Source organism: Homo sapiens, chromosome 20 (assembly GCF_000001405.40).
Source record: "Homo sapiens chromosome 20, GRCh38.p14 Primary Assembly".
Classification (NCBI taxonomy): Eukaryota; Metazoa; Chordata; class Mammalia; order Primates; family Hominidae; genus Homo; species Homo sapiens.
In genome coordinates, this window is record NC_000020.11 from 32,709,775 (window position 1) to 32,736,425 (window position 26,651).

Consider the following 26,651-nt stretch of genomic DNA (forward strand, 5'->3'; position numbering starts at 1 on the left):
CCTTGCAGTTCTCTGCACATAGCTCATCCCTTCGCTTCATTCAGGGTTCTGCCTGACTCTTACCTCCTCAGAAAGGATCCCCGACCATTCTATTTCACATTTTTTCTTTTTTTACTTTTTTTTTTTTTTAATCTCATTCTGTCACCCAGGCTGGAGTGCGGTGGTGTAATCACGGCTCATTACAGCCTTGACCTCCTGGGCTTAATGGATCCTCCCACCTCAGGCTCCTAAGTAGCTGGGACTACAGGCATGCTCCACAATGCTTGACTAATTTTTAATTTTTTTTTCTAGAGATAGAGTCTCACTATCTTGCCAGCTCAAACTCCCGCACTCAAGCAATACTCCCACCTTGGCCTCTCAAAATGCTGGGATTACAGGCATGAGCTGCCAATCCCAGCCTCATTCTAATTTAAATAGCACTGCCCTTTACTCATACTCGTATAATGCTGTGGGATATTCTGCATTGCATTTATAACTACCCAACTTTATGTTATATATTTATTATCAATTTTTCCACTAGAACACCAGCTTGATAAGAACAAAGACTAGGCTCATTTTGCCTACTGCTGTGTCCCAAGCTCTGAGAGAAATGCCTGGCAAAGTTTATTGGTTGGCACTCAATAAAAGCACGTTGAATGCAAGAATCCTTACAATGGATTGCTATCCAGGCTTAAAAAAAATTATGTAAGGCCAAGTGCTGTCATCCCAGCACTTTGGGAGGCTGAGGTGGGAGGATACCTGAGCCCAGGGGTTCAAGACCAGTCTGGGCAATACAGGGAGACCCCATCTCTACAAAATAAAAAAATTAGCAAGGTATAGTGGCACAGGCCTGTGGTCCCAGCTACTCAGGAGGCTGAGGTGGGAGGATGGCTTGAGCCCAGGAGGTTGAGGCTACAGTGAACCATAATTGCATCACTGCACTCCAGCCTATGTAACAGGGTGAGACCTCATCTCAAAAAAAAAAAAAAAAAAAATAGATGTAGCTCAGTAGCTGTTGATGGACCAATCTGCATAATATAATGTCAAGAAAAAAAGGAAAGGCACCTATAATCCCAGCACTTTGGGAAGCTGAGGTGAGAGGATTGCTTGAGGCTAGGAATTTGAGACTAGCCTGGGCATCATAGCAAAACCCTGCCTCTACAAAAATAAAAATAAAAAATTACTTGGGTGTGGAGGTGCACACCTGTAATCCAGCTGCTCAGGAGGCTAAAATAGGAGGATCGCTTGAGCCCAGAAGTTTGAGGCTGCAGTGAGCCATGATGGCACCACTTCACTCCAGCCTGGGTGACAGAGCAAGACTCTATCTCTAAAAATAAATAAATAAAAATAAGTGTTACTTTGGCCGGGGGTGGTGGCTCACGCCCATAATCCCAGCACTTTGGGAGGCTGAGGCGGGTGGATCACTTGAGGTCAGGAGTTTGAGACCAGCCTGGTCAACGTGGTGAAACCCCGTCTCCACTAAAAATACAAAAATTAGCTGGGCGTGGTGGCACACGCCTGTAGTCCCAGCTACTTGGGAGGCTGAGGTAGGAGAATCGCTTAAACCTGGGAGGCAGAGGTTGCAGTGAGCCGAGATCACACCACTGCACTCCAGCCTGGACGACGGAGTGAGACTCTGTCTAAAAAAAAAAAATGTTACTTAAAAAAAAAAAAAAAAGGAAACAGTTAAAGGAACAAGGCCACAACAGTCAGCAACTGACAGAGCCAAGTGGCTTATAGGCCAGAGGGTCCCCACACCAAGTTCTTTCTACACCAGGTCATTCTCAGACGCTATCTTGGTGCTGCGGTATCAGGCAATGCCTTGACAGTTGCTGACAATGAAGTCAACAAAGCTGCAGGGATGGAAGAGCAAGCTCTCCATCCTGAAGTTACCTCTGGAGGGCAGAGGCCAGACTTGAAACATGGATTGGCATCATGCTAGGCCTCAAGCTCTTAACTTCTTTTTCAGCTTTTTCCTGTGGTGATTCCTTTGTCCTAAGCAAATGCCAGCCACAAGACAGACCTGCAACATTTGACCTTATGTCAGACAGAATGAAAATTGTGTGGGGCCTCTTGGAGGGTGGGGTGGGGGGAGGGATAGCATTAGGAAAAATAGTTATTCCATGCTGGGCTTAATACTTAGGTGATGGGCTGGGCGTGGTGGCTCGTGCCTGTAATCCCAGCACTTTCGGAGGCCGAGGCGGGTGGATCACAAGGTCAAGAGATCGAGACTGAGGGCTGGGCACGATGGCTCATGCCTGTAATCCCAGCACTTTGGGAGTCCGAGGTGGGCAGATCATGAGGTCAGGAGTTCGAGACCAGCCTGACCAACATGATGAAACCCCATCTCTACTAAAAATACAAAAATTAGCCGGGCGTGGTGGCAGGCGCCTGTAATCCCAGCTACTCAGGAGGCTGAGACAGGAGAATTGCTTGCACCCGGGAGGCAGAGGTTGCAGTGAGCCGAGATCGTGCCATTGCACTCCAGCCTGGGCCACAGAGCAAGACTCCGTCTCAAAAAAAAAAAAAAAAAAAAAAAAAGAGAGAGATCGAGACCATCCTGGACAATGTAGTGAAACTCCGTATCTACTAAAAAGTATAAAAATTAGCTGGGCATGGTGGCATGCATCTGTAGTCCCAGCTACTTAGGAGGCTGAGGCAGGAGAATTGCTTGAACCCAGGAGGCAGAGGTTGAAGTGAGCCAAGATCGCGCCACTGCACTCTAGCCTGGTGACAGAGCAAGATTCCGTCTCAAATTAAAAAAAAAAAAACCTAGGTGATGGGTTGACAGGTGCAGCAAACCACCATGGCATACTATGTAACAAATCTGCACACCCTGCACATGTACCCCAGACCTTTAAAAAAAAAAAAAAGAAAATTGTGTAAACTCCAACAGCTGCAGTCAGCAGAACATGACACGTGGGGAAATTTAAGAACATCCTTCTTCAAACACAGATAACTTTGAGATGGTCCCTTTTTTTTTTTTGACACGGAGACTTTTTTTTTTTTTTTTTTCGAGACAGAGTCTCACTCTGTCCCCCAGACTGGAATGCAGTGGTGCAATCTTGGCTCACTGCAACCTCTGCCTCCCAGGTTCAAGTGATTCTCCTGCCTCACCCTCCCAAGCAGCTGGGACTATAGGCACGCACCACCATGCCCGGCTAATTTTTTGTATTTTTAGTAGAGACCAGGATGGTCTCGATCTCCTGACCTCGTGATCCGCCTGCCTTGGCTTCCCAAAGTGCTGGGATTACAGGCGTGAGCCACTGTGCCCGTCCTCTTTCTTTTTTAATTTCTTTTTTTTTTTTTTTTGAGACAGAGTTTCACTTTTGTTGCCCAGGCTGGAGCACAATGGTGCAATCTCAGCTCACTGCAACCTCCGCCTCCCAGGTGCAAGAGATTCTCCTGTCTCAGCCTCCCAAGTAGCTGGGATTACAGGCATGTGCCACCATGCCTGGCTATTTTTTTTTGTATTTAGTAGAGATGGGCTTTCACCACGTTAGTCAGGCTGGTTGTGAACTCCTGACCTCAGGTGATCCACCCGCCTCGGCTTCCTAAAGTGCTGGGACTACAGGCGTGCGCCAATGCGCCTGGCAACAGGCACCAATTTTCACCAGAACTGCTGCCTTAGCCAAACCCTCAAAGCTGTCAAACAATATGAAGGACAAAACAAAGGGAAGTGAGGGTGACGACTTCAGTTTTGCCAAGACGGTTGGAAAAACAGCAAACATTGTTCTTATTCAGTGTACAAATGGGAGCCCAAGGAATGGACACAGGCTTGGTGAAAACTCCTGGAAGCAGATGGGAGAGGATGGAGAGCTGCTTTCATCCAGTCAGTACTGACCCTGAAGGCTGACCAGCTGAAGCCACCCTGTGAGGCTCACAGAGAACAGAGGTCCGTAGTCACACACGCACATTTACTGAGCACTGCCATGTGCCTGCACTGTGCTAGATGCTGGGAAACATCAATGAACTGAACAGACAACAATCTCTGCCCTTATGAGGCTTCCATTCTACTGGCAGGAGAAAGACCACAGCAATAACGTAAAACATAAGCCATACAGGGTATAAGAAGGGGGAGGCTGGGCATGGTGGCTCACGCCTGTAATCTTAGCACTTTGGGAGGCCGAGGCAGGTGGATCTCAAGGTCAGGAGTTCAAGACCAGCCTGGCCAACATGGTGAAACCCCATCTCTACTAAAATACAAAAATTAGCTGAGCGTGGTGGTGAGCGCCTGTAATCGCAGCTACTTGGGAGGCTGAGGCAGGAGAATCGCTTGAACCCAGGAGGTGGAGGCTGCAGTGAGCCGAGATCGTGCCACTGCACTCCAGCCTGGGCAATAGAGTGTGACTCTGTCTTAAAAACAAAAACAAAAAAACCCCCAAAAAAGAAGGGGGAAAGTGCCATGGAGAAAAATAGTAGGGTGGTGCATGAGGCTGGCGGTCCTGGGGAATTTAGTTCAATGTTTGATTAAATGCCACTTATGACTACATTTCATTGCTGATTATTCTTTTTTGTGTGTATGTTGCTAAAAAGAACTCGTTGGGGAGTGGGGAAGGGGAGTTACCTCCTTTTCATAAAAAAATAAAATAAAATAAAAATCAGTTACGGATCACCCACAGGGGCCAGATATCTTGCTAAGTATTAAAATAAAAATAGGGCCGGGCACGGTGGTTGTAATCCCAGCACTTTGGGAGGCCGAGGCAAGCGGATCACCTGAGGTCAGGAGTTCGAGACCAGCCTGGCCAATATGGTGAAACCCCGTCTCTACTAATAATACAAAAAATTAAGGCCAGGCACGGTGGCTCATACCTGTAGTCCCAGCACCTTGGGAGGCTGAGATGGGCAGATCACGAGGGCAGGAGTTCGAGGCCAGCCTGGCCAATACGGTGAAACCTCGTCTCTACTAAAAATACAAAAATTAGCCGGGCACGGTGGTGCATGGCTGTAGTCCCAGCTACTCAGGCGGCTAAGGTAGAATAATCGCTTGAACCTGGGAGGTGGAGGTTGTAGTGAGCCGAGATCGTACCACTGCACTCCAGCCTGGGCAACAGAGTGAGACTCCATCTCAAACAACAACAACAACAACAACAACAACAACAAAAATTAGCCAGGTGTAGTGCGCATGCCTGTAATCCCAGCTACTCAGGAGGTTGAGAGGCAGGAGAATCGCTTGAACCCAGGAGGCAGTGGTTGCAGTGAGCCGAGACTGCACCACTGCACTCCAGCCTGGGCAACGGAGTGGGACTCTGTCTCAAAAAAATAAAAATAAAAATAAATAAATAAATAAATAAATAAATGAAATAAAAATAGGTGACCAAGCAGGGTGGCTGAGCCTGGGGAGATCGAGGCTGCAGTAAGCAGAGATTGTGCCACTGCACTCCAGCCTGGGCAACACAGCCAGACCTAGTCTCAAAAAATAATAATAATAATAATAAAAAAACAGGCAGCCAGGCTAGGTGGCTCATGCCTATATCCCAGCACTCTGGGAGGCTGAGGCAGGTGGACTGCTTGAACTCAGGAGTTCAAGACCAGCCTAGGAAACATGGCAAAACCCTGTCTCTACCAAAAATACAAAAATTAGCCGGGAGTGGTGGCATGCACTTGTGGTCCCAGCTACTCGGGAGGCTGAGGTGGGAGGCTCACTGAAGCTCAGGAAGTCAAGGATACAGTGAGCAGAGACTGTGCCACTGCACTCCAGCCTGGGCAACACAGCCGGACCCAGTCTCAAAAAAACAAACAAAAAGAATAAAATAAAATAAAAAAACAGGCGGCCAGGCGTGATGGCTCATGCCTATATCTCAGCACTTTGGGAGGCTGAGGCAGGTGGACTGCTTGAACTCAGGAGTTCAAGACCAGCCTAGGAAACATGGCGAAACCCTGTCTCTACCAAAAATACAAAAATCAGCCAGGAGTGGTGGCATCCACCTGTGGTCCCAGCTACTCGGGAGGCTGAGGTCGGAGGCTTACTGGAGCTCAGGTAGACAAGGCTGCAGTGAACTGTGATCATGCCACTGAACTCCAACCTGGGTGACAGAGCGAGATTCTGTCTCAAAAAAAATAAATTAATCAAAAATAAATAAATTAATAAATTAATTAAAAACAGGCTTAAATAGTGGCCCTACTGCCAAGTTATCTGTAATCTCAGCTAGGAGATAACACATAATAATAATGACAATCATAATATTAGCAGCAGTGTGCTACCACTTAGTGAAGTGAGCACCTTATTACATTTATTATCTTTATCCTTATAATAAAAGTATGAGTCTACTATTAGTTCTCAGGTACCATTGGGTCTCAGAGCTGTTAAATCCCTGGTGAGTAAGCAAGCACAGAAGGGCCACCCAGCAGCCACGTGCTGGACTGGAGTCCTATCTAGATCCTGATGGGAACCCATTCCAAACAAACAAAATACAGGAGACAATGGGGAAATTAATACTGACCTTGTATTTTCCTTTTAGATATGATAATGGCATTGTAGTTTGATAAGGGGGAAATTCCTTTTTTTCTTTTAGAGATAGACAACTAGGTATTCAGGAATAAAGTATGTCTGATATTGCCTTTAACATAATCCAGTTTGGGCCGGGCGCAGTGGCTCACACCTGTAATCCCAGCACTTTGGGAGGCCGAGGCGGGCGGATCACGAGGTCAGGAGATCTAGACCATCCTGGCTAACACGGTGAAACCCTGTCTCTACTAAAAATACAAAAAATTAGCCAGGCGTGGTGGCAGGCGCCTGTAGTCCCAGCTACTTGGGAGGCTGAGGCAGGAGAATGGCGTGAACCCGGGAGGCGGAGCTTGCAGTGAGCCAAGATCGTGCCACTGCACTCCAGCCTGGGTGACAGAGTGAGACTCCGTCTCAAAAACAAAAAAAACAAAACATAATCCAGTTTGCACTGGGCATGTTGCCCACACCTGTAATCCCAGCTACTCAGCAGACTGAGGTGGGAGGACTGCTTGAGGCCAGGAGTTTGAGACTAGCCCAAGCAACAAAGCAAGACCCCCACATCTCTAAAACTAAACTAAACTAAAGTAATCCAGTTCAGAGAGCAGTAAGGAGCCATGGGTGGGGTCCACATGAATCAATCTGGCCATGGGTTAGTAACTTTTTTTTTTTTTTCATAATATGGACTCTAGCTCTGTCGTCCAGGCCAGAGCGCAGTGTCAGGAACTCTGCTCCCCGCCTCCCGGGTTCAGCCTCCAATGTAGCTGGGACTACAGGTGCCCACCAACATGCTCGACTAATTTTTTGTATTTGTAGTAGAGATGTGGTTTCACCGTATCAGCCAGAATGGTCTTGATCTCCTGACCTCGTGATCCACATGCCTCGGCCTCCCAAAGTGCTGGGATTACAGGTGTGAGCCACCGTGCCCAGCCCGGGTTAATAACTTTTGAAGGATTTTCTTTGGTTTGTTTTTTAGAGACAGGGTCTTCCTCCGTTGTGCAAACTGGAGGGCAGTGGTGTAATCATGGCTCACTGCAGCCTGGACTCCTGGGCTCAAGGTATCTTCCTGTCTCAGCCTCTGAAGTAGTTGAGACTACAGGTGTGCACCACCATGCCCAGTTAATTTTTTTTTTTTTTTTTTTTTTAAGACAGAGTCTCACTCTGTCACCCAGGCTGGAGTGCAGTGGTGTAATCCCAGCTCACTGCAACATCTGCCTCCCAGGTTCAAGTGATTTTCATGCCTCATCCTCCCAAGTAGCTGGGATTACAGGCATGTGCCACCACGCCCAGTTCATTTTTGTATTTTTAGTAGAGACAGGGTTTTGCCATGTTGGCCAGGCTGGTCTCAAACTCTTGACCTCAAGCGATCCGCCCACCTCAGCCTCCCAAAGTGCTGGGATTACAGGCGTGAGCCACCATACCTGGCCAATTTTTTTTATTTTTTGTAGAGGTAGTGTCTCATTATGTTGCCCAGGCTGTTCTTCAACTCCTGGCCTCAAGAGATTCTCCCCCTTTGACTTCCCAAAGTGCTGAGATTACAGGCATGAGTCATTGTGCCTGGCTGAAGTCAGGTGTTTCAAAGAATTACATACTAAATAGTACAAGAAAAACATTTTTTAAAAAAGGCAAAAAAGGCCAGGTACAGTGGCTCATGCTTGTAATCTCAGCACTTTGTCAGGAGTTTGAGACCACCCTGGCTGACATGGTAAAACCCCCTCTTGACCAAAAAAGAAAAAAAAAAAGAGCCTGGCGTGGTAGTGTGTGCCTGTAATCCCAGCTACTCAGGAAGCTGAGGCAGGAGAATCATTTGAACCCAGGAGGTGGAGGTTGCAGCGAGCCGAGATCGTGCCACTGCACTCGAGCCTCGGCGACAGAGCGAGACTGCCTCTCAAAAAAAAAAAAAAATCAATAAAATAAAAAGGGGAGCCGGGTGCGGTGGCTCACGCCTGTAATCCCAGCACTTTGGGAGGCTGAGGCGGGCAGATCACAAGGTCAGGAGATCGAGACCATCCTGGCTAACACGGTGAAACCCCGTCTCTACTAAAAATACAAAAAATTGGCCGGGCGTGGTGGCGGGCGCCTGTGGTCCCAGCTACTCGGGAGGTTGAGCCAGGAGAATGGCGTGAACCCGGGAGGCAGAGCTTGCAGTGAACCGAGTTTGCGCCACTGCACTCCAGCCTGGGCTACAGAGCGAAACTCCATCTAAAAAAAAAAGGGGGGCCGGACGCAGTGGCTCACGCCTGTAATCACAGCACTTTGAGAGGCCAAGGCGGGTGGACTGCCTGAGCTCAGGAGTTCGAGACCAGCCTGGGCAACACAGTGAAACCCCGTTTCTACTAAAATACAAAAAATCAGCTGGGCGTGACGGCATGGGCCTGTAATCCCAGCTACTTGGGAGGCTGAGACAGGAGAATCGCTTGAACTCAGGAGGCGGAGGTTGCAGTGAGCAGAGACTGTGCCATTGCACTCCAGCCTGGGTGACAGAGCGAGACTCTGTCTCAAATAAATACATTAATAAAATAAAATAAAATGCCAAAAAAGATCAGTACTTTACAAAGCTTTTACTTGACTCTCCCCCTGCCAAAAAAAAAAAAAGAAACCAAAAAGTTCCATCATTAACTGTGCTTCACAGATACTGGTTAAGCAAGTTTCTTTACTGTAGGACTTTTCAGAACCTGAGATGTGTCAATGTGTGCTTGAATCTCCAGGGTTCCAAGGCTGGGGTTGCGGGGAGAGTATTTCTGACTCTGGACACACCAATTTGAGGAAGACTGATCTGGTGGTTTCTTAAGGCCACTTCAGCTCTAACAAACTGTACTTCTACAATAAGAGCTTCTTGCACAGGCAGGACCAGGTCAAAGGAAGAGGACACTGATGAGGGCCTGGAGGCTCTTACGTTGCAGATTAGATTAGGAAAGGCCTTGAATGCCAAACTGAGGCCTACAGACTTCATTACGCAAGGTAAACAGTTGAGAGAAGCAGGATGATCCAAGTTGTGCTGTAGTTAAGTGTGCTCCAGGGCAAACTGGAGTCTGGATGGGAGAATGGAGGTGGAGATGTAACTGCCATAACTAGGCATGTAGGGCTAAGAAACTGTTCTGGGATGGCAGCCTTTGGGACTAGAAAGAAGGGATGCACAAGGACAAAGGATAAGAAGGGGACAGGAAGGCCGGGAGCAGTGGCTCACACCTGTAATCCCAGCACTTTGGGAGGCCAAGGTGGGGTGGATCACCTGAGGTCAGGAGTTCGAGACCAGCCTGGCCAACAAGGTGAAACCCCGTCTCTAATAAAAATACAAAAAATTAGCCAGGCATGGTGGCGGGTGCCTGTAATCCCAGCTACTCAGGAGGCTGAGGCAGGAGAATTGCTTGAACCTGGGAGGCGGAGCTGGCAGTGAGCCAAGATGGCACCTTTGCACTCCAGACTGGGCAACAAGAGCAAAACTCCATCTAAAAAAAAATATAATAAAATAATAAAACTTAGGAGGCTTTGGGACATTAACTAGCCCAGACATACATTCACATACTCATTATTAGGTAAAAGTTTTATCCCATAATTTGACATAAAGGAATAGGACTGAACACTAGCAGCTCTATCAATAAATAAAGGCCATAACAGCCTGGCACAGTAACATGCCTATAATCCCAGCTACTTGGGAGGTTAAGACAGGAGAATCATTTCAGCCAAGGACTTCCAGACCAGCCTGGGCAACATAGCAAGACCCTGGCTCAACAAAAGCCTCAACAAAACAAAGGTTACAGTTGAGCAAGCACTGTGTTAAGTACTTTACAGGCATTCATCTCTTCATTCCTAACACCGCAATAAGCTGCTATTATTATTCTACTTTTCAGAAAAGAAACTGAGGTTCTACAAGGCTGATTTGTCCAGAACCAAATGGCTACATTCAGTGATGGGACCAAAACTCAAATCAGAGTGAGCCTGAAAAGCCCATCTCTTCACTGGTATGCTGAGTTCCTCAATTTTCTCTGTATCTATAGAAAATGATCTGCTATACGCCGGGCACAGTGGCTCACGCCTATAATCCCATCACTTTGGGAGGCTGAGGTGGGCAGATCAATTGAGATCAGGAGTTCGAGACCAGCCTGGCCAACATGGTGAAACCCCGTCTGTACTAAAAATACAAAAATTAGCCGGGCATGGTGGCACATGCCTGTAATCCCAGCTACTCGGGAGGCTGAGGCAGGAGAATCGCTTGAACCCGGGAAGCAGAGATTGCAGTGAGCCGAGATCGAGCCATTGCACTCCAGCCTGGGAGACAAGAGTGAAACTCCGTCTCAGAAAAAGAAAAAGAAAGAAAAATATAGACTAGGCCGGGCATGGTGGTTCATGCCTGTAATCCCAGCATTTTGGGAGGCCAAGGCAGACAGATCGCTTAAGCCCAAGAATCAAGACCAGCCAGGGCAACATGGTAAAACCTCGTCTCTACAAAAAATACAAAAATTAGCCAGGTGTGTTGGTGCACCGTAGTCCCAGCTACTCAGGAGGCTGAAGCAGAAGAATCACTTAAGCCCTGGAGTTGGAGGTTGCAGTGAGCTATGAGAATCAGTCTGGGTGGGACCTTGTCCCAAAATAAATAAATACATAAAAAGAAGGAAAATACAGACTCAACATCCCCTGGGAGGGTCACAGCATCTCCTAAATTCTATTCAATTCGCTCTGCACGTACTGAGCACCTGCTTTATGCCATTACCTTGCTTCTAACTATGGCTTAGGAAAGAACAAGACTCGCCCCTGAGTTTGAGGAACTATCTATTAGAGCCATGAGACAGATACATCAGATACAAACAAATCAGCAGGAACAATAGAAACCTGTAAATTAGTACTGACCAAAATGATAGTTACAGATAAAAAACATATCTCAGATGCTGGAAGGGGAGGTTACTGTGAACTCAAGCGATTTGGGAAGGCTTTCTGAGGCAGCACAGGGTTGCAGCTCAAGGCTGAAGGCAATCTAACAGGATACAGTGGGGGGCCAAGTGCGGTGGCTCATGCCTGTAATCCCAGCACTTTCAAACTCCAAGGCAGGAGGACTGCTTGGGCCCAGGATCGCTGGAGACCAGCCTGGGCAACATAGGAAGATCCTGACTCTATTTATTTTTTAAATAATAGGCCGGGCACAGTGGCTCACATCTATAATCTCAGGACTTTGGGAGGCCAAGGCAGGCGGATCACCTGAGGTCAGGAGTTCAAGACCAGCCAGGCCAGCATGGTGAAACCCCATCTCTACTAAAAGTACAAAAAATTGCTGGGCAGGACGGCTTACGCCTGTAATCCCAGCACTTTGGGAGGCTGAGGTGGGCGGATCACTTGGGGTCAAAAGTTCAAGACCAGCCTGGCCAACATGGCAAAACTCCATCTCTACTAAAAATAAAAAAATCAGCTGAGCACAGTGGCTCATGCCTGTAATCCCAGCACTTTGGGAGGCCAAGGCAGGCAGATAACCTGAGGTCAGGAGTTCGAGACCAGCCTGACCAACATGGAGAAACATCATCTCTACTAAAAATACAAAAAACAAACAAACAAAAAATTAGGCGGGCGTGGTGGTGGGTGCCTGTAATGCCAGCTACTCGGGAGGCTAAGGCAGGAGAATTGCTTGAATCCGGGAGATGGAGGTTTGCAGTGAGCTGAAATCATGCTACTGCGCTCCAGCCTGGGCGACAGAGCAAGACGTTGTCTCAAAAAAAAAAAAAAATTAGCCGAGTGTGGTGGCATGCATCTGTAGTCCCAGCTATTTGGGAGGCTGAGGCAGGAGAATCGCTTGAACCCGGGAGGTGGAGGTTGCAGTGAGCCGAGATCACGTCACTGCACTCCAGCCTGGGCAACAGAGTGAGAATCCATCTCATAAATAATAAAAATAAAAATACAACTACAAAAAATTAGCCAGGTGTGGTGGTGCATGCCTGTAGTTCCAGCTACTCGGGAGGCTGAGGAAGGAGAATTGCTTGAACCTTGTCGACGGAATTTGCAGTGAGCCGAGATCTTGCCCCTGTACTCCAGCCTGGGTGACAAGAGCAAAACTCTGTCTCGAAAAAAAAAAAAAAAAAAAAAAGGATACAGTGTGGTGGGGTGAGGAAGACAGGGAAGACTGGGGACAGGGACACTAGACAGAGGTCTCCTGAAAATTAGTGCCCATAACAGGTGTTTGGTAGACAGGTCTCAGCCCTCAGACAAACCCATTTCCAAAGATGAAGGCCAGAGAATGAGAATAATGATTTATCGTTCTGGCCGGGTGTGATGGCTCATGCCTGTAATCCCAGCGCTGTGGGAGGCGTGGCCGGCAGATCACCTGAGGTCAGGAGTTCAAGACCAGCCTGGCCAACATGGTGAAACTTGGTCTCTACTAAAAATACAAAAATTAGCCAGGCATGGTGGTGGGCGCCTGCAATCCCAGCTACCCAGAAGGCTGAGTCAGAAGAATCACTTGAACCCGGGAGGTGGAGGTTGCAGTGAGCCGAGATCGTGCCACTGCACTCCAGCCTGGGTGACAGAGTGAGACTCAGGAAAAAAAAAAAAAAGACTTGGCCGAGCCCAGTGGCTCACACCTGTAATCCCAGCACTTTGGGAGGCTGAGGCGGGTGGATCACGAGGTCAAGAGATCGAGACCATCCTGGCTAACACGGTGAAACCCCATCTCTACTAAAAAATACAAAAAATTAGCCGGGCGTGGTGGTGGGCACCTGTAGTCCCAGCTACTCGGGAGGCTGAGGCAGAATGGCGTGAACCTGGTAGGCAGAGCTTGCAGTGAGCTGAGATCACGCCACTGCACTCCAGCCTGGGTGACAGAGCAAGACTCCATCTCAAAAATAAATAAATAAATAAATAAATAAATAATAATAATAATAATAAAGACTTGTGATCCTCTCCCTCTCCCTCTCCCTCTCCGTCTCCCTCTCCCTCTCCCTCTCCCTCCCTCTCCGTCTCCGTCTCCGTCTCCGTCTCCCTCTCCCTCTCCCCACGGTCTCCCTCTCATGCGGAGCCGAAGCTGGACTGTACTGCTGCCATCTCGGCTCACTGCAACCTCCCTGCCTGATTCTCCTGCCTCAGCCTGCCGAGTGCCTGCGATTGCAGGCACGCGCCGCCACGCCTGACTGGTTTTGGTGGAGACGGGGTTTCGCTGTGTTGGCCGGGCCGGTCTCCAGCCCCTAACCGCGAGTGATCCGCCAACCTCGGCCTCCCGAGGTGCCGGGATTGCAGACGGAGTCTGGTTCACTCAGTGCTCAATGGTGCCCAGGCTGGAGTGCAGTGGCGTGATCTCGGCTCACTACAACCTCCACCTCCCAGCCGCCTGCCTTGGCCTCCCAAAGTGCCGAGATTGCAGCCTCTGCCCGGCCGCCACCCCGTCTGGGAAGTGAGGAGTGTCTCTGCCTGGCCGCCCATCGTCTGGGATGTGAGGAGCCCCTCTGCCCGGCCGCCCAGTCTGGGAAGTGAGGAGCGTCTCCGCCCGGCCGCCATCCCATCTAGGAAGTGAGGAGCGCCTCTTCCCAGCCGCCATCACATCTAGGAAGTGAGGAGCGTCTCTGCCCGGCCGCCCATCGTCTGAGATGTGGGGAGCGCCTCTGCCCCACCGCCCCATCTGGGATGTGAGGAGCGCCTCTGCCCGGCCGAGACCCCGTCTGGGAGGTGAGGAGCGTCTCTGCCCGGCCGCCCCGTCTGAGAAGTGAGGAGACCCTCTGCCTGGCAACCACCCCGTCTGAGAAGTGAGGAGCCCCTCCGCCCGGCAGCTGCCCCGTCTGAGAAGTGAGGAGCCTCTCCGCCCAGCAGCCACCCCATCTGGGAAGTGAGGAGCATCTCCGCCCGGCAGCCACCCTGTCCGGGAGGGAGGTGAGGGGGGGTCAGCCCCCCGCCCGGCCAGCCGCCCCATCCGGGAGGGAGGTGGGGGGTCAGCCCCCCGCCCGGCCAGCCGTGCCATCCAGGAGGGAGGTGGGGGGGTCAGCCCCCCGCCCGGCCAGCCGCCCGGTCCGGGAGGTGAGGGGCGCCTCTGCCCGGCCGCCCCTACTGGGAAGTGAGGAGCCCCTCTGCCTGGCCAGCCGCCCCGTCCGGGAGGGAGGTGGGGGGTCAGCCCCCCGACCGGCCAGCCGCCCCGTCCGGGAGGGAGGTGGGGGGGTCAGCCCCCCGCCCGGCCAGCCGCCCCGCCCAGGAGGTGAGGGGCGCCTCTGCCCGGCCGCCCCTACTGGGAAGTGAGGAGCCCCTCTGCCCGGCCACCACCCCGTCTGGGAGGTGTGCCCAACAGCTCATTGAGAACGGGCCAGGATGACAATGGCGGCTTTGTGGAATAGAAAGGCGGGAAAGGTGGGGAAAAGATTGAGAAATCGGATGGTTGCCGTGTCTGTGTAGAAAGAAGTAGACATGGGAGACTTTTCATTTTGTTCTGCACTAAGAAAAATTCCTCTGCCTTGGGATCCTGTTGATCTGTGACCTTACCCCCAACCCTGTGCTCTCTGAAACATGTGCTGTGTCCACTCAGGGTTAAATGGATTAAGGGCGGTGCAAGATGTGCTTTGTTAAACAGATGCTTGAAGGCAGCATGCTCGTTAAGAGTCATCACCAATCCCTAATCTCAAGTAATCAGGGACACAAACACTGCGGAAGGCCGCAGGGTCCTCTGCCTAGGAAAACCAGAGACCTTTGTTCACTTGTTTATCTGCTGACCTTCCCTCCACTATTGTCCCATGACCCTGCCAAATCCCCCTCTGTGAGAAACACCCAAGAATTATCAATAAAAAAATAAATTTAAAAAAAAAAAAAAAAAAAAAAAGACTTGTGGTTCTGCACTTTAGGCACCATGTTGGTCAGGCTGGTCTCAAAATACTCACATTTGTGAGTAAGAAGAGGTTGTAAGGATGTTCACTGTGGCATTGTTTGTAAGGGTGAGATATGGGAACAACAGAAATATCCAACAACAGGATATAGATTAACTAAAAGGAGATATATTCAGTCTATGGGATATTATATCCATCTAAAGAATGAAGGTGATGTGGAAAGAGCTCCATGATATACCAGGTATGATGAAAAAATGTGAGTTCCAGGACACTTTTTATGGTTTGCTACCATTTATGAAAAACAAAGCTACATGAATATGTTCATTAGTGTACATAAAAATATAAAAGGCCATAGTCCAAAATTATATTGTGATTATCTCTAGGGACAAAAGTAGGAGGAGAGTAAAAGAGGATTTTTACTTTTGACTCTCTATAGCTCTATACTGTGTTTTGTTTTTTTTTTTTTTTGAGACGGAGTGTTGCTCCGTCGCCCAGGCTGGAGTGCAGTGGCACGGTCTCAGCTCACTGCAAACTCCGCCTCCCGGGATCACGCCATTCTCCTGCCTCAGCCTCCTGAGTAGCTGAGACTACAGGTGCCAGCCACCACACCCGGCTAATTTTTTGTATTTTTAGTAGAGACAGGGTTTCACCGTGTTAGCCAGGATGGTCTCGATCTCCTGACCTCGTGATCCGCCCATCTTGGCCTCCCAAAGTGCTGGGATTACAGGCGTGAGCCACCACACCTGGCCGCTCTGTACTGTTTTTGAAAGTTTAAAATGAAAATTTATTCCTGCTGGTGAAATGGCTCACACCTGTAATCCTAACACTCTGGGAGGCTGAGGCGGGCAGATCGCTTGAGCTCGGGAATTTGAAACCAGCCTGGCCAGCATGGCAAAACCCCATCTCTACAAATAATAATAATAATAATACAAAAAATAGCCAGGCATGGTGGTGCATGTCTGTAGTCCCAGCTACTCCGGAGGCTGATACGGGAGGATCACTTAAGCCCGGGAGGCGGAGGTTGCAGTAAGCTGAGATCATGCCACTGCACTCCAGTGTGGGCAACAGAGCAAAAGCCTGTCTCAAAAAAAAAAAAAAAAAAAAAAAGTATTCCTATATAAAAAGACTTTGGCTGAGTACAGTGGCTCATGTCTGTAATCCAGCACTTTGGGGAGCCAAGGCGGGTGGATCACGAGGTCAGGAGTTCAAGACCACCAGCCTGGCCAAAACAGTGAAACCCCATCTCTACTAAAAATTCAAAAATTAGCTGGGCATGGTGGCGCTTGCCTGTGCCTGTAATCCCAGCTACTCGGGAGGCTGAGGCAGGAGAATCACTTGAACCTGGGAGGCAGAGGTTGCAGTGAGCCAAGATTCTGCACTGCACTCCAGCCTAGGTGACAGAGCGAGACTCCGTCTCAAAAAAACAAACAAAAGACTTCAAGCCCAGGCACAGGGACTCACTCCTGTAATCCTAACACTTTGGGAGACTGAGGTGGGTGGATCACCTAAGGTCAGGAGTTTGAGACCAGCCTGTCCAACATGGTGAAACCCTGTCTCTACTAAAAATACAAAAAATTAGCTGGGTGTGGTGGCGGGCACTTGTAATCCCAGTTACTTGGGAGGCTGAGGCAGGAGAATCACTTGAACCCAGGAAGTGGAGGTTGCGGTGAGCCAAGACCACGCCATTGCACTCCAGCCTGGGCAAAAAGATTGAAACTCTGTCTCAAAAGCAAAACAAAACAAAAAAACCCTCAAATTCTTATCAAGTCATGACAGCAAAGAAGGCAAGAATCACAAAAACACGAGGCTCAGAAAATTTCAGTTGAAAATCTCTGGAATATTCTGGTTCAAGCCCCCAGAACCTCAGGAGCACAATACAGGGCAAAGGAAAGAACCTTCACTAAGATATAGGAAAGTGCTGAACAGAAGCAAACAAATTAAACCCCCAACTTCTAATACACTTGAACTGAACCTGGGCATGGTGGCTTATACCTGTAATCCTAGCACTTTGGGAGGCCAAGGCAGGAGGACAGCTTGAGCTAGGAGTTTGAGACTAGCCTGGGTAACATAGAGAGACTCTATCTCTACACACAAAAAACATTAGCCAGGCAGGGTGGTGCACACCTGTGGTCCCAGCTACTTGGGGGTTGAGGCGGGAGGATCACTTGAGCCTAGGAGTTTGAGGCTGAAGTGTGCTATGATTGCACCACTGTATTCCAGCTTGGGCAACAGAGCAAGACCCTGTCAAAAAAAAAAAAATGCTCCATTTAAAAAAATTATTAGATTCAGGCCGGGTACGGTGGCTCACGCCTGTAATCCCAGCACTATGGGAGGCTGAGGCAGACAGATCATGAGGTCAAGGGATCATGACCATCTTGGCCAACATGGTCTCTACTAAAAATAAAAAAATTAGCTGGGCGTGGTGGTGCGTGCCTGTAATCCCAGCTACTCGGGAAGCTGAGTAGGAGAATCACTTGAACTCGGATGGCAGAGGTTACAGTGAGCTAAGATTGCACCACTGCACTTCAGCCTGGCGACAGAGAAAGATTCTGTCTCAAAAAAAAAAAAAAAAAAAGTATTAGATTCAAGGGACATTGTCAAATTGCTATAAAAGGTTCCAAATGCTTATTCTCAATTTCTGTCCTTATTATAGAGAGGACAAGAGGACATTCTGAGGACATAACCCAAGATGCACACTGAACTTTCCAGCTGTGCTGCACCACAGCACACTACTATTCAACTATACTATGTTCACCTGTTACGTGGGCTCCCTCCAGAGACAGAGTCCCACCCACGTCTGGCTCATTACCAAACGCTCTGGCTTGGCCCACGGAGCATGCTTCAATGACTCCATGGACTAAAGGAATGTTCAAGTTAATGTCTCTGGCCACAGCTGCTAAGAGAGGTTACTCACCATTTGGAACCAGAAGGAGGCTTTTCACGATGCTTCTGAGGGAGCCAAGACTGATCTGATTGGTGGTGGCAAATTCAGAGAGCTGAGCCAGAAATCTTTCCACCTGCAGAGAGAGAACAGTGAAAACCCGGGCCTTCACTTTCTAAGCATCTCAGGGAGCACGGACCCACTCCCTAACACAGAATGTTTTATTTACCTCTTTTGGCTCAGTTAGGAAGTGGAAAAGCACCTCTGTCAGGGCTGAGAACTGCTGTGAAGAAAACAACACAGAACATCAGTACAATTTCTACTACTGGGTCAGCATGCCCCACCCCAGGCAACTGCATAGCCTTGAGAGGGAAGAACAGTAACAGCCAGGTGTTATGCCTGTTCTGATCATCCTATAGTTACAAATGTTCACAATACCCACCACCAGTGTCAATATACCTGTGTCGCTACATCATCTGAAAAACACGTTTATTGGGATACTTAGCAGACATGTATTGAGAGACTGTAAGCATATGCACTCAGATGCACACATATATCTCTAGGACACAGACACACACAGACAGACATACACACACACACACACACACACGCACGCACAAGGGGGAAATCATCAGAAAATTAAAAGCGGTTACCACTTTGGATGATTTTTATTTTCTTCTGTTTTACCTATCCATATTTTCTTTCTTTTCTTTTTTTTTCTTTCCCTGAGACAGGGTCTCTCTGTCACCCAGGCTGGAATGCAGTGATGCAATCTCGGCTCACTGCAACCTCTGCCTCCTGGGCTCAAGCAATCCTCCCACCTCAGCCTCCAGAGTAGCTGGGACTACAGGCACATGCCACCATACCCGACTAATTTTTTTTTTAATGTAGAGACAGGGTCTCACTTTGTTGCCCAGGATGGTCTCAAACTCCTGGGCTCAAGTGATCTACCCACGTCAGCCTCCCAAAGTGCTGGAATTATAGGCATAAGCCATGCACCTGGCCTCATATTTTCTTGGGTTCCCCCCACCCATAAACATCTCGTTACTTGTGTAAGACAACAATAAACTGTAACACTTTATTATACACCTAGAACAGACTCTTACAGTTTTGTGTGTCTTAATCTTTTCTCTTTACTGGTAATGTGTTGTTAGGAACTGAATGTTTGTGTCTCCCCAAAATTCATATATTGAAGCCCTAACTTCCATTGTGACAATATTTGAAGACAGGGCCTGTTAGATGATAAAGGTTAAATGAGGTCATAAGAGTGAGATGCTAGCCCCATAGGGCTGGGGGCGCTTATTTTGATTTTTTTTTTTTTTTTTTTTAGATGGAGTCTCACTCTGTTGCCCAGGCTGGAGTGCAGTGGTGTGATGTTGGCTCACTGCAACCTCCACCTTCTGAGTTCAAGCAATTCTCCTGCCTCAGCCTCCCGAGCAGCTGGGATTACAGGTGCCTGCCACCACACCTGGATAATTTTTGTATTTTTAGTAGAGACGGGTTTCACCATATTGGCCAGGCTGGTCTCGAACTCCTCACCTCAAGTGATCCACCTGCCTCAGCCTCCCAAAGTGCTGGGATTATAGGTATGACCCACCGTGCCCAGCCTAGGGCTGGGGCCCTTATAAGAAGAGGAAGAGGCCAGGTGCAGTGGCTCACGCCTGTAATCCCAGCATTTTGGGAGACCAAGATGGGAGGATTGCTTGAGGCTGTGAGTTTGAGATCTGCCTGGGCAACACAGCAAGACCCCACCTCTTAAAAAAAAAAAAAAGGAAGGAGGGAGTCATCTACAAGCCAGGAATCACACTGGCTGGCACTTGATCTTGTACTTCCGAGCAAGCAGAACTGTTAGAAATAAATGTCTGGGCTGGGCATAGTGGCTCACACCTGTAATCCCAGCACTTTGGGAGGCTGAAGTGAGTGGATCACGAGGTCAGGAGTTTGAGACCAGCCTGGCCAGCATAGTGAAACCCCGTCTCTACTAAAACAAAAAACAAAAAAAAATTAGCCAGGCGTGGTGGCGTGTACTTGTAATCCCAGCTACTTGGGAGGCTGTGGCAGGAGACTCACTTGAATCCAGGAGGCAGGGGTTGCAGTGAGCTGTGATCATGCCACTGTACACCAGCCTGGACGACAGATTGAGACTCTGTCTCAAAAAAAAGAAAGAAAGAAATGTCTGCTGTTGGAGCCAACCAGTCTATGATATTTTGCCTTAACAAAATACCAGCTGCCCAGGTATTTTGTTATGGCAGCCTGAGCTGACTGAGACACAGATCATTACTTTATCATGTCCCTCCCTGGCCTGAGCTGACTGAGACACAGATCATTACTTTCTCATGTCCCTCCCTGGCCTGAGCTGACTGAGACACAGATCATTACTTTCTCATGTCCCTCCCTGTGAACAGTGTGTATGGGCTGGACGCGGTGGCTCACGCATGTAATCCCAGCACTTTCAGAGGCTGAGGTTGGCGGATCATTTGAGGTCGGGAGTTCAAGACCAGCCTGACCAACATGGTGAAACCCCGTCTCTACTAAGAATACAAAAATTAGCCAGGCGTGGTGGTGCGTGCCTGTAATCCTAGCTACTCAGGAGGCTGAGGCAGAAGAATTGCTTGAACCTGGGAGGCGGAGGTTGCAGTGAGTGGAGATCATGCCACTGCACTCCAGCCTGGGTGACAGAGCGAGACTCCGTTTCAAAAAACAACAACAACAACAACAACAACAAAAAGCCCACTGTGTATGGCATAGTGGGGAAAACCAGGATGCCAGGGTTTAAAAGACCCAGTTCAATCAGTGTTCTCCGTTGACTACTCTTGTGAATTTGGTCAAGCCGTTTAGCATCTGTGTCCCAGTCCCCACGAGGAAAACAAAGGTAAGAATACACAGCTTCCAATACTAACAGTAACACATGCAGAGCCTCTAGCACAGAGCCAGGCTGGACGCTAAACAAATGGTAGCTACAGTTAGAGTCATAATTAGAGTCACTATACCATTTGATCCACCTTCTAGAAGCAATATATAAAAAAAGAAAAAGATTATAGGCAGATACTTCAGCTTAAAACCCCCAAAGTTGTATGTGTAGTATGTTAAATGCACCTATCCCTTCTGCTATGACACATTAAACTCTACACATCTGTCAGGACTCTGTATTATTTTATTCAAAAATGTATTCTATTTTAAAAGAAAACGAAACTGGGTGTGGTGGCTCATGCCTGTAATCCCAGCACTCTGGGAGGCCAAAGTGAGAGGATTGCTTGAGGCCAGGAGTTCGAGACCAGCTTGGGCAATCTGCATAAAAAAATTTAAAAATTAGCCAGGCAAGGTGGCATGCTCCTGTAGTCCTAGCTACTCAGGAGGCTGAGGCAGGAGGATTGCTTCAGCCCAGGCATTCCAAGCTGCAGTGAGTCATGATCACACCACTGAACTCCAGCCTGAGTGACAGAACAAGATCCTAGCTCAAAAAATAAAAATAAAAAATAAAAATAAATTAGTCAAGCATGGTGGTATGCACCTGTAGTTCTAGCTACTCTGGAGGCTGAGGTGGAAGGATTGCTTGAGCCCAGGAGCTTGAGGCTGCAGCAAACTATGATTGCGCCACTGCAATCCAGCCTGAGCGACAGTGCAAGAATGTGTTATTGATCCCTCGTCCCTATCTCTCCCTTCCCAAGCCCTCCTTATCCTCCAAAGCCCTGCCAAGAAACCATGACACTCCCAACAAGAAAGGGACCTACCCAGATTCTCAACTTCTGAGGCTCCCTGGGGCCACCTACAATTTTCAACTCTGATAAGGAACACAAACATGTCTTAGAAGAGAAGTTTCCTTATATGGCATTGCAGCTTCACAGCAACTTAAATACTGTAAGTGCACAGTATTTGCTGAATAAATCTTTCCTAAACACTCCCCGCAATGCTTTGCCTTTGCAATTGCATAGGTGCCTCCCTCTGGAATGCTCACCCACCCATGGCTATCTATGCATGCATCTCAAAATCTTAAGGATTCTCCCCAGTAAACTTAGGAAGAGATGCACAAGGTCATTCCAGACTAGAGAAATGCAAATCAGTAAAACCAGAATATACTATTTTTCACTTATCAGATCTGCAAACCCAAAAGTTTGACTAGGACACCAGTGCTGGTGAAAGTACAAGGAAGCAGACAGGTTCCTGCATGACTGATAATAGGATACACTGGGGTGACCTTTCTAGGGGCAATTTCACAATGTGCATCTAACTTGTATTTTTTTGAGGCAGAGTCTGGCTCTGTCGCCCAGACTGGAGTGCAGTGGCGCAATCACGGCTCGCTGGAGCCTCCAACCTCTTGGGTTCAAAGCAATCCTCCCACCTCAGTCTGCTGAGTAGCTGAGATTACAGGCACATGCCACCACATCCACATTGGGCTAATTTTTTTATATTTTGTAGAGACAGGGTCTCACAATGTTGCCCCAGCTCATCTGGAACTCCTGGGCTCAAGCAATCCTCCTGCCTCACCCTCCCTAAGAACTGGGATTATAGGTTTGACCAACCACACCCAACCGGCATCAAATTTTTAAAGTGATTATACCCCTCGACCTAGTAATTCCATTCCATGAAGTATATCCTTTAGGTATGTTCCAAAAAGTAAATGTTTTGGCAAGTCACAGTGGCTCATGCCTGTAATGCCAGCACTTTGGGAGGCTGAGGCAGGAGGACCGCTTGATCCCAGGAGACAAGCATTATGTTCAGGCAACATAGTGAGAGCCCATCTCTACAAATCATAATAATACATTTAAATTTAAAAAGAAAAAAAGAGGCCTGGCACCATGGCTCAAGCCTGTAATCCCAGCACTTTGGGAGGCGGAGGTGGGTGGATCACGAGGTCATGAGATCTAGACCATCCTGGCTAACACGGTGAAACCCTGTCTCTAAACCCTCTACTAAAAATACAAAAAAATTAGCCGGTCTTGGAAGTGGGCGCCTGTAGTCCCAGCTACTCGGGAGGCTGAGGCAGGAGAATGGCATGAACCTGGGAGGTGGAGCTTGCAGTGAGCCGAGATCGCGCCACTGCACTCCAGCCTGGGCGACAGAGTGAGATTCCATCTCAAAAAAAAAGAAAAAAGAAGGTCGGACGCGGTGGCTCACATCTGTAATCCCAGCACTTTGGTGGCTGAGGCGGGCGGATCACCTGAGGTCAGGAGTTTGAGATCAGCCTGGCCAACATGGCGAAACCCCGTCTCTACTAAAAATACAAAAATTAGCTGGGCATGGTGGCGGGCGCCTGTAATCCCAGCAGAATTACTTCAACCCAGGAGGCGGAGGCTACAGCAAGCTGAGATTGTGCCACTGCACTCCAGCCTGGGCAACAGAGTAAGACTCCATCTCAAAAAAAAAGAATGCAGTAGATCTATTTGTATTGAAGGGAGAAAATAGGATACATTGCTCAGTTTAAAAAACAACAACAAAACAGGCCACGCGCGGTGGCTCACGCCTGTAATCCCAGCACTTTGGGAGGTTGAGGCGGGGGGATAACCAGAGGTTAGGAGTTTGAGACCAGCCTGGCCAACTTAGCCAAACAAACCCCGTCTCTACTAAAAATTCAAAAATGGCCTGGAGCGGTGGCTCACGCCTGTAATCCCAGCACTTTGGGAGGCCGAGGCGGGCAGATCACCTGAGGTCAGGAGTTTGAGACCAGCCTAGCTAACATGGTGAAACCCCATCTCGACTAAAGAAACAAAAAATTAGCCGAGTGTGGTGGCACGTGCCTATAATCCCAGCTACTTGGGAGGCTGAGGCAGAATTGCTTGAACCTGGGAGGTGGAGGTTGCAGTGAGCCGAGATTGCACCATTGCACTCCAACCTGGGCGACAGGGCAAGACTCCATCTCAAAAAAAAAAAAAAAAAAATTAGCCAGGCGTGGTGGTGTGCGTCTATAATCCCAGCTACTCAGGAGGCTGAGGCAGGAGAATTGCTTGAACCTGGGAGGCAGAGGTTGCAGTGAGCCGAGATTGCACGATTGCACTCCAGCCTGGGCGGAGTGGAACTCCTTCTCAAAAAAAAAAAAGAAGGCCGGGTGCGGTGGCTCACACCTGTAATCCCAATACTTAGGGAGGCCGAGGCGCGCAGATCATGAGGTCAGGAGACAGAGACCATCCTGGCTACGGTGAAACCCCATCTCTACTAAAAATAAAAAATAAAAAAATTAGCCAAGCGTGGTAGGGGGCGCCTATAGTCCCAGCTACAGGGGAGGCTGAGGCAGGAGAATGGTGTGAACCTGGAAGGCAGAGCTTGTGGTGAGCCCAGATCACACCACTGCACTCCAGCCTGGGCAACAGAGCGAGACTCCGTCACAAAAAAAAAAAAAAAAAAGTGCCGTGCCTCACGCTTGTAATCCCAGCACTTTGGGAGGCCAAGGCGGGTGGATCACAAGGTCAGGAGTTCAAGACCAGCCTGGCCAAGATGGTGAAACCCCGTCTCTACTAAAAATACAAAAATTAGCCGGGCATGGTGGCATGCGCCTGTAATCCCAGCTACTCGGGAGGCTGAGGCAGAGAATTGCTTGAACCCGGGAGGTGGAGGTTGCAGTGAGCCCAGATCATGCCACTGCACTCCAGCCTGGGTGACAGAGCTTGACTCCGTCTCAAAACCAACCAAAAAAAAACCCCAGCAAGATGAAGAAAAAATATATACAGAATGAACCATTTTCTATATATATATAAAAATTCAAAGCCAGAAATGGGAGGATCACTTGAGCCTAGATGTTCAAGATCACCATAGGCAGCATAGTAAGACCTCATCTCTAAAAAATAAAAATAAGGCCAGGCACAGCGGCTCACGCCTGTAATCCCAGCACTTCGGGAGGCCGAGGATGGCAGATCACCTAAGGTCAGGAGTTCAAGACCATCCTGGCCAACATAATGAAACCCCATGTCTACTAAAAATACAAAAATTAGCCAGGTGTGGTGGTAGCTGTAGTCCCAGCTACTCGGGAGGCTGAGGCAGGAGGATGGCTTAAACCCAGGAGGCAAAGGTTGCAGTGAGCCAAGATTGTACCATTGCAGTCCAGCTTGGGCAACACAGTGAGACTCCATCTCAAAAATAAAATAAAATAAAAATAAGAAAACATGCCCAGGCACGGTGGCTCATGCCTGTAATCCTAGCACTTTGCGAGTCTGAGGAAGGTGGATCACCTTTGGTCAGGAGTTCAAGACCAGACTGGCAAACATGGTGAAACCCCATTCTACTAAAAACATAAAAAATTAGCTGGGCATAATGGTGAGCACCTGTAATCCCAGCTACTTGGGAGGCTGAGGCAGGAGAACTGCTTGAACCCGGGAGGCAGAGGTTGCAGTGAGCCAAGATTGCGCCATTGCACTCCAGCCTGGGCAACAGCGCGAGACTCAAAAAAAAAAAATTTTTTTTTAAAGGATACTCATATATATGCTGGCAAATTAAGACTTTTATTTCTATAAAAATAACTAAGAAACTATTTTTTGTTTGTTTTTTGAGACAGAGTCTCTCTGTGTCACCCAGGCTGGAGTGCAGTGGTGCGATCATGGCTCACTGCAACCTCCGCCTCCTGGGTACAAGTGATTATCCTCCTCAGCCTCCTGAGTAGCTGGGATTATAAGCGTGCACTACCATGCCCGGCTAATTTTTGTATTTTTAGTGGAGACAGGGTTTCACCATGTTGGCCAGACTGGTCTTAGACTGCTGGCCTGAAGTGATCCACCTGCCTCGGCTTCCCAAAGTGGTTGGATTACAGGCGTGAGCCACTGTGACCAGCTATAAGAAACTATTAAAATGATTTCTGGAGATAAGAAAAATAAACATTTTATTTTTAAGAGATGGGGGTCTCACTCTTTCAGGCTGGAGTACAGTGGGTGATCATCATAGCTCACTGCAGCTTCCAACTCCTAGGCTCCTGCCTCAGCCTCCTGGGTTGCTCTGGGATTACAGACATGCTGTACCATACCTAGCTTATTTCACTTTGATATCTTTGTATACTGTTTGAATTTCCTGTCTATTACTTTCATTTCCAGCTTGGTAAGAGGACTGTGGGCCACTTGCTTGTATTATCCTTTATATTTTTCTGAGTTTACTCTCATTCTAAAATGATTAACTTAAAATCCTGCCTATTCTCAGACTCCACATTGCCTGGGACTGGCCACGGGCATCAAAGGGCACATCTATGTGCAATTTGGTACTATCTGCTTCTTCATTTTATGACCTGCTGTAGAAGATCACAACTTCCCCAGGACAAAAGGCCTTGACCATCAAATATTCCTAAGTCCTACCAGGTTTAGTGGCTATTTGGTTTATGTAGGCATTCAGGTAAACACCCACCGAACGAGCAATAAATGTTAAAGACAAGGTTCACACAATGATTCGTTTTACTACTTGAGGCCTACACCTTAGAATTCAAAATAAATTCAGCTAACAGAGTGGGTACTTGGAGAAGTCTGATTATCCAACAAAAGACAGAGAAATGGGCCAAACGACTCAGGTAAGTTGCTTATTAGGAGAAAGGTTTAAGGTTTCTGTATTAACAATAAAGGTAGCTGGGCCTGGTGGCTCACACCTGTAATCCCAGCAC

The 26,651-nt window shown here is 48.4% G+C and overlaps 1 protein-coding gene across 8 annotated transcripts in view, besides 6 other annotated features; it reads right to left on the reverse strand.

The window, feature by feature from the left end:
• The window catches only part of COMMD7 (COMM domain containing 7), a 40,769-nt gene that overhangs the window by 7,076 nt on the left and 7,042 nt on the right, over positions 1-26,651 (reverse strand). For 4 of the 8 annotated variants that reach the window (XM_047439932.1, NM_001099339.2, XM_017027685.3 and 1 more), the window contains exons 2-3: positions 18,315-18,365; positions 18,119-18,221 (exon numbers count right to left, since the gene is read on the reverse strand). In XM_047439932.1, coding sequence (XP_047295888.1) covers positions 18,119-18,221; positions 18,315-18,365 — 154 coding nt within the window. Of the gene's footprint in view, positions 1-18,118; positions 18,222-18,314; positions 18,369-26,651 lie in introns of all 8 variants that reach the window. The other 4 variants (XM_017027686.3, NM_053041.3, XM_011528604.4 and 1 more) reach the window with 1 other exon arrangement.
• Positions 1,613-1,907: a silencer, noted in NCBI's record as "tiled region #13573; K562 Repressive DNase matched - State 15:Elon". NCBI's record gives its function as "represses a minimal TATA promoter and a strong SV40 promoter by Sharpr-MPRA in K562 cells {active_cell/tissue: K562}" and the evidence as "EXISTENCE:reporter gene assay evidence [ECO:0000049][PMID:27701403]".
• Positions 12,563-13,064: an enhancer, noted in NCBI's record as "OCT4 hESC enhancer chr20:31310141-31310642 (GRCh37/hg19 assembly coordinates)". NCBI's record gives its function as "activates a minimal SCP1, AML or CMV promoter by ChIP-STARR-seq in naive and primed H9 embryonic stem cells {active_cell/tissue: H9 hESC(naive and primed)}" and the evidence as "EXISTENCE:reporter gene assay evidence [ECO:0000049][PMID:30033119]".
• Positions 13,133-13,639: an enhancer, noted in NCBI's record as "H3K4me1 hESC enhancer chr20:31310711-31311220 (GRCh37/hg19 assembly coordinates)". NCBI's record gives its function as "activates a minimal SCP1, AML or CMV promoter by ChIP-STARR-seq in naive H9 embryonic stem cells {active_cell/tissue: H9 hESC(naive)}" and the evidence as "EXISTENCE:reporter gene assay evidence [ECO:0000049][PMID:30033119]".
• Positions 21,648-21,942: a silencer, noted in NCBI's record as "tiled region #10337; HepG2 Repressive DNase matched - State 5:Enh". NCBI's record gives its function as "represses a minimal TATA promoter and a strong SV40 promoter by Sharpr-MPRA in HepG2 cells {active_cell/tissue: HepG2}" and the evidence as "EXISTENCE:reporter gene assay evidence [ECO:0000049][PMID:27701403]".
• Positions 23,019-23,887: an enhancer, noted in NCBI's record as "H3K27ac hESC enhancer chr20:31320600-31321468 (GRCh37/hg19 assembly coordinates)". NCBI's record gives its function as "activates a minimal SCP1, AML or CMV promoter by ChIP-STARR-seq in primed H9 embryonic stem cells {active_cell/tissue: H9 hESC(primed)}" and the evidence as "EXISTENCE:reporter gene assay evidence [ECO:0000049][PMID:30033119]".
• Positions 23,888-24,755: an enhancer, noted in NCBI's record as "H3K27ac hESC enhancer chr20:31321469-31322336 (GRCh37/hg19 assembly coordinates)". NCBI's record gives its function as "activates a minimal SCP1, AML or CMV promoter by ChIP-STARR-seq in naive H9 embryonic stem cells {active_cell/tissue: H9 hESC(naive)}" and the evidence as "EXISTENCE:reporter gene assay evidence [ECO:0000049][PMID:30033119]".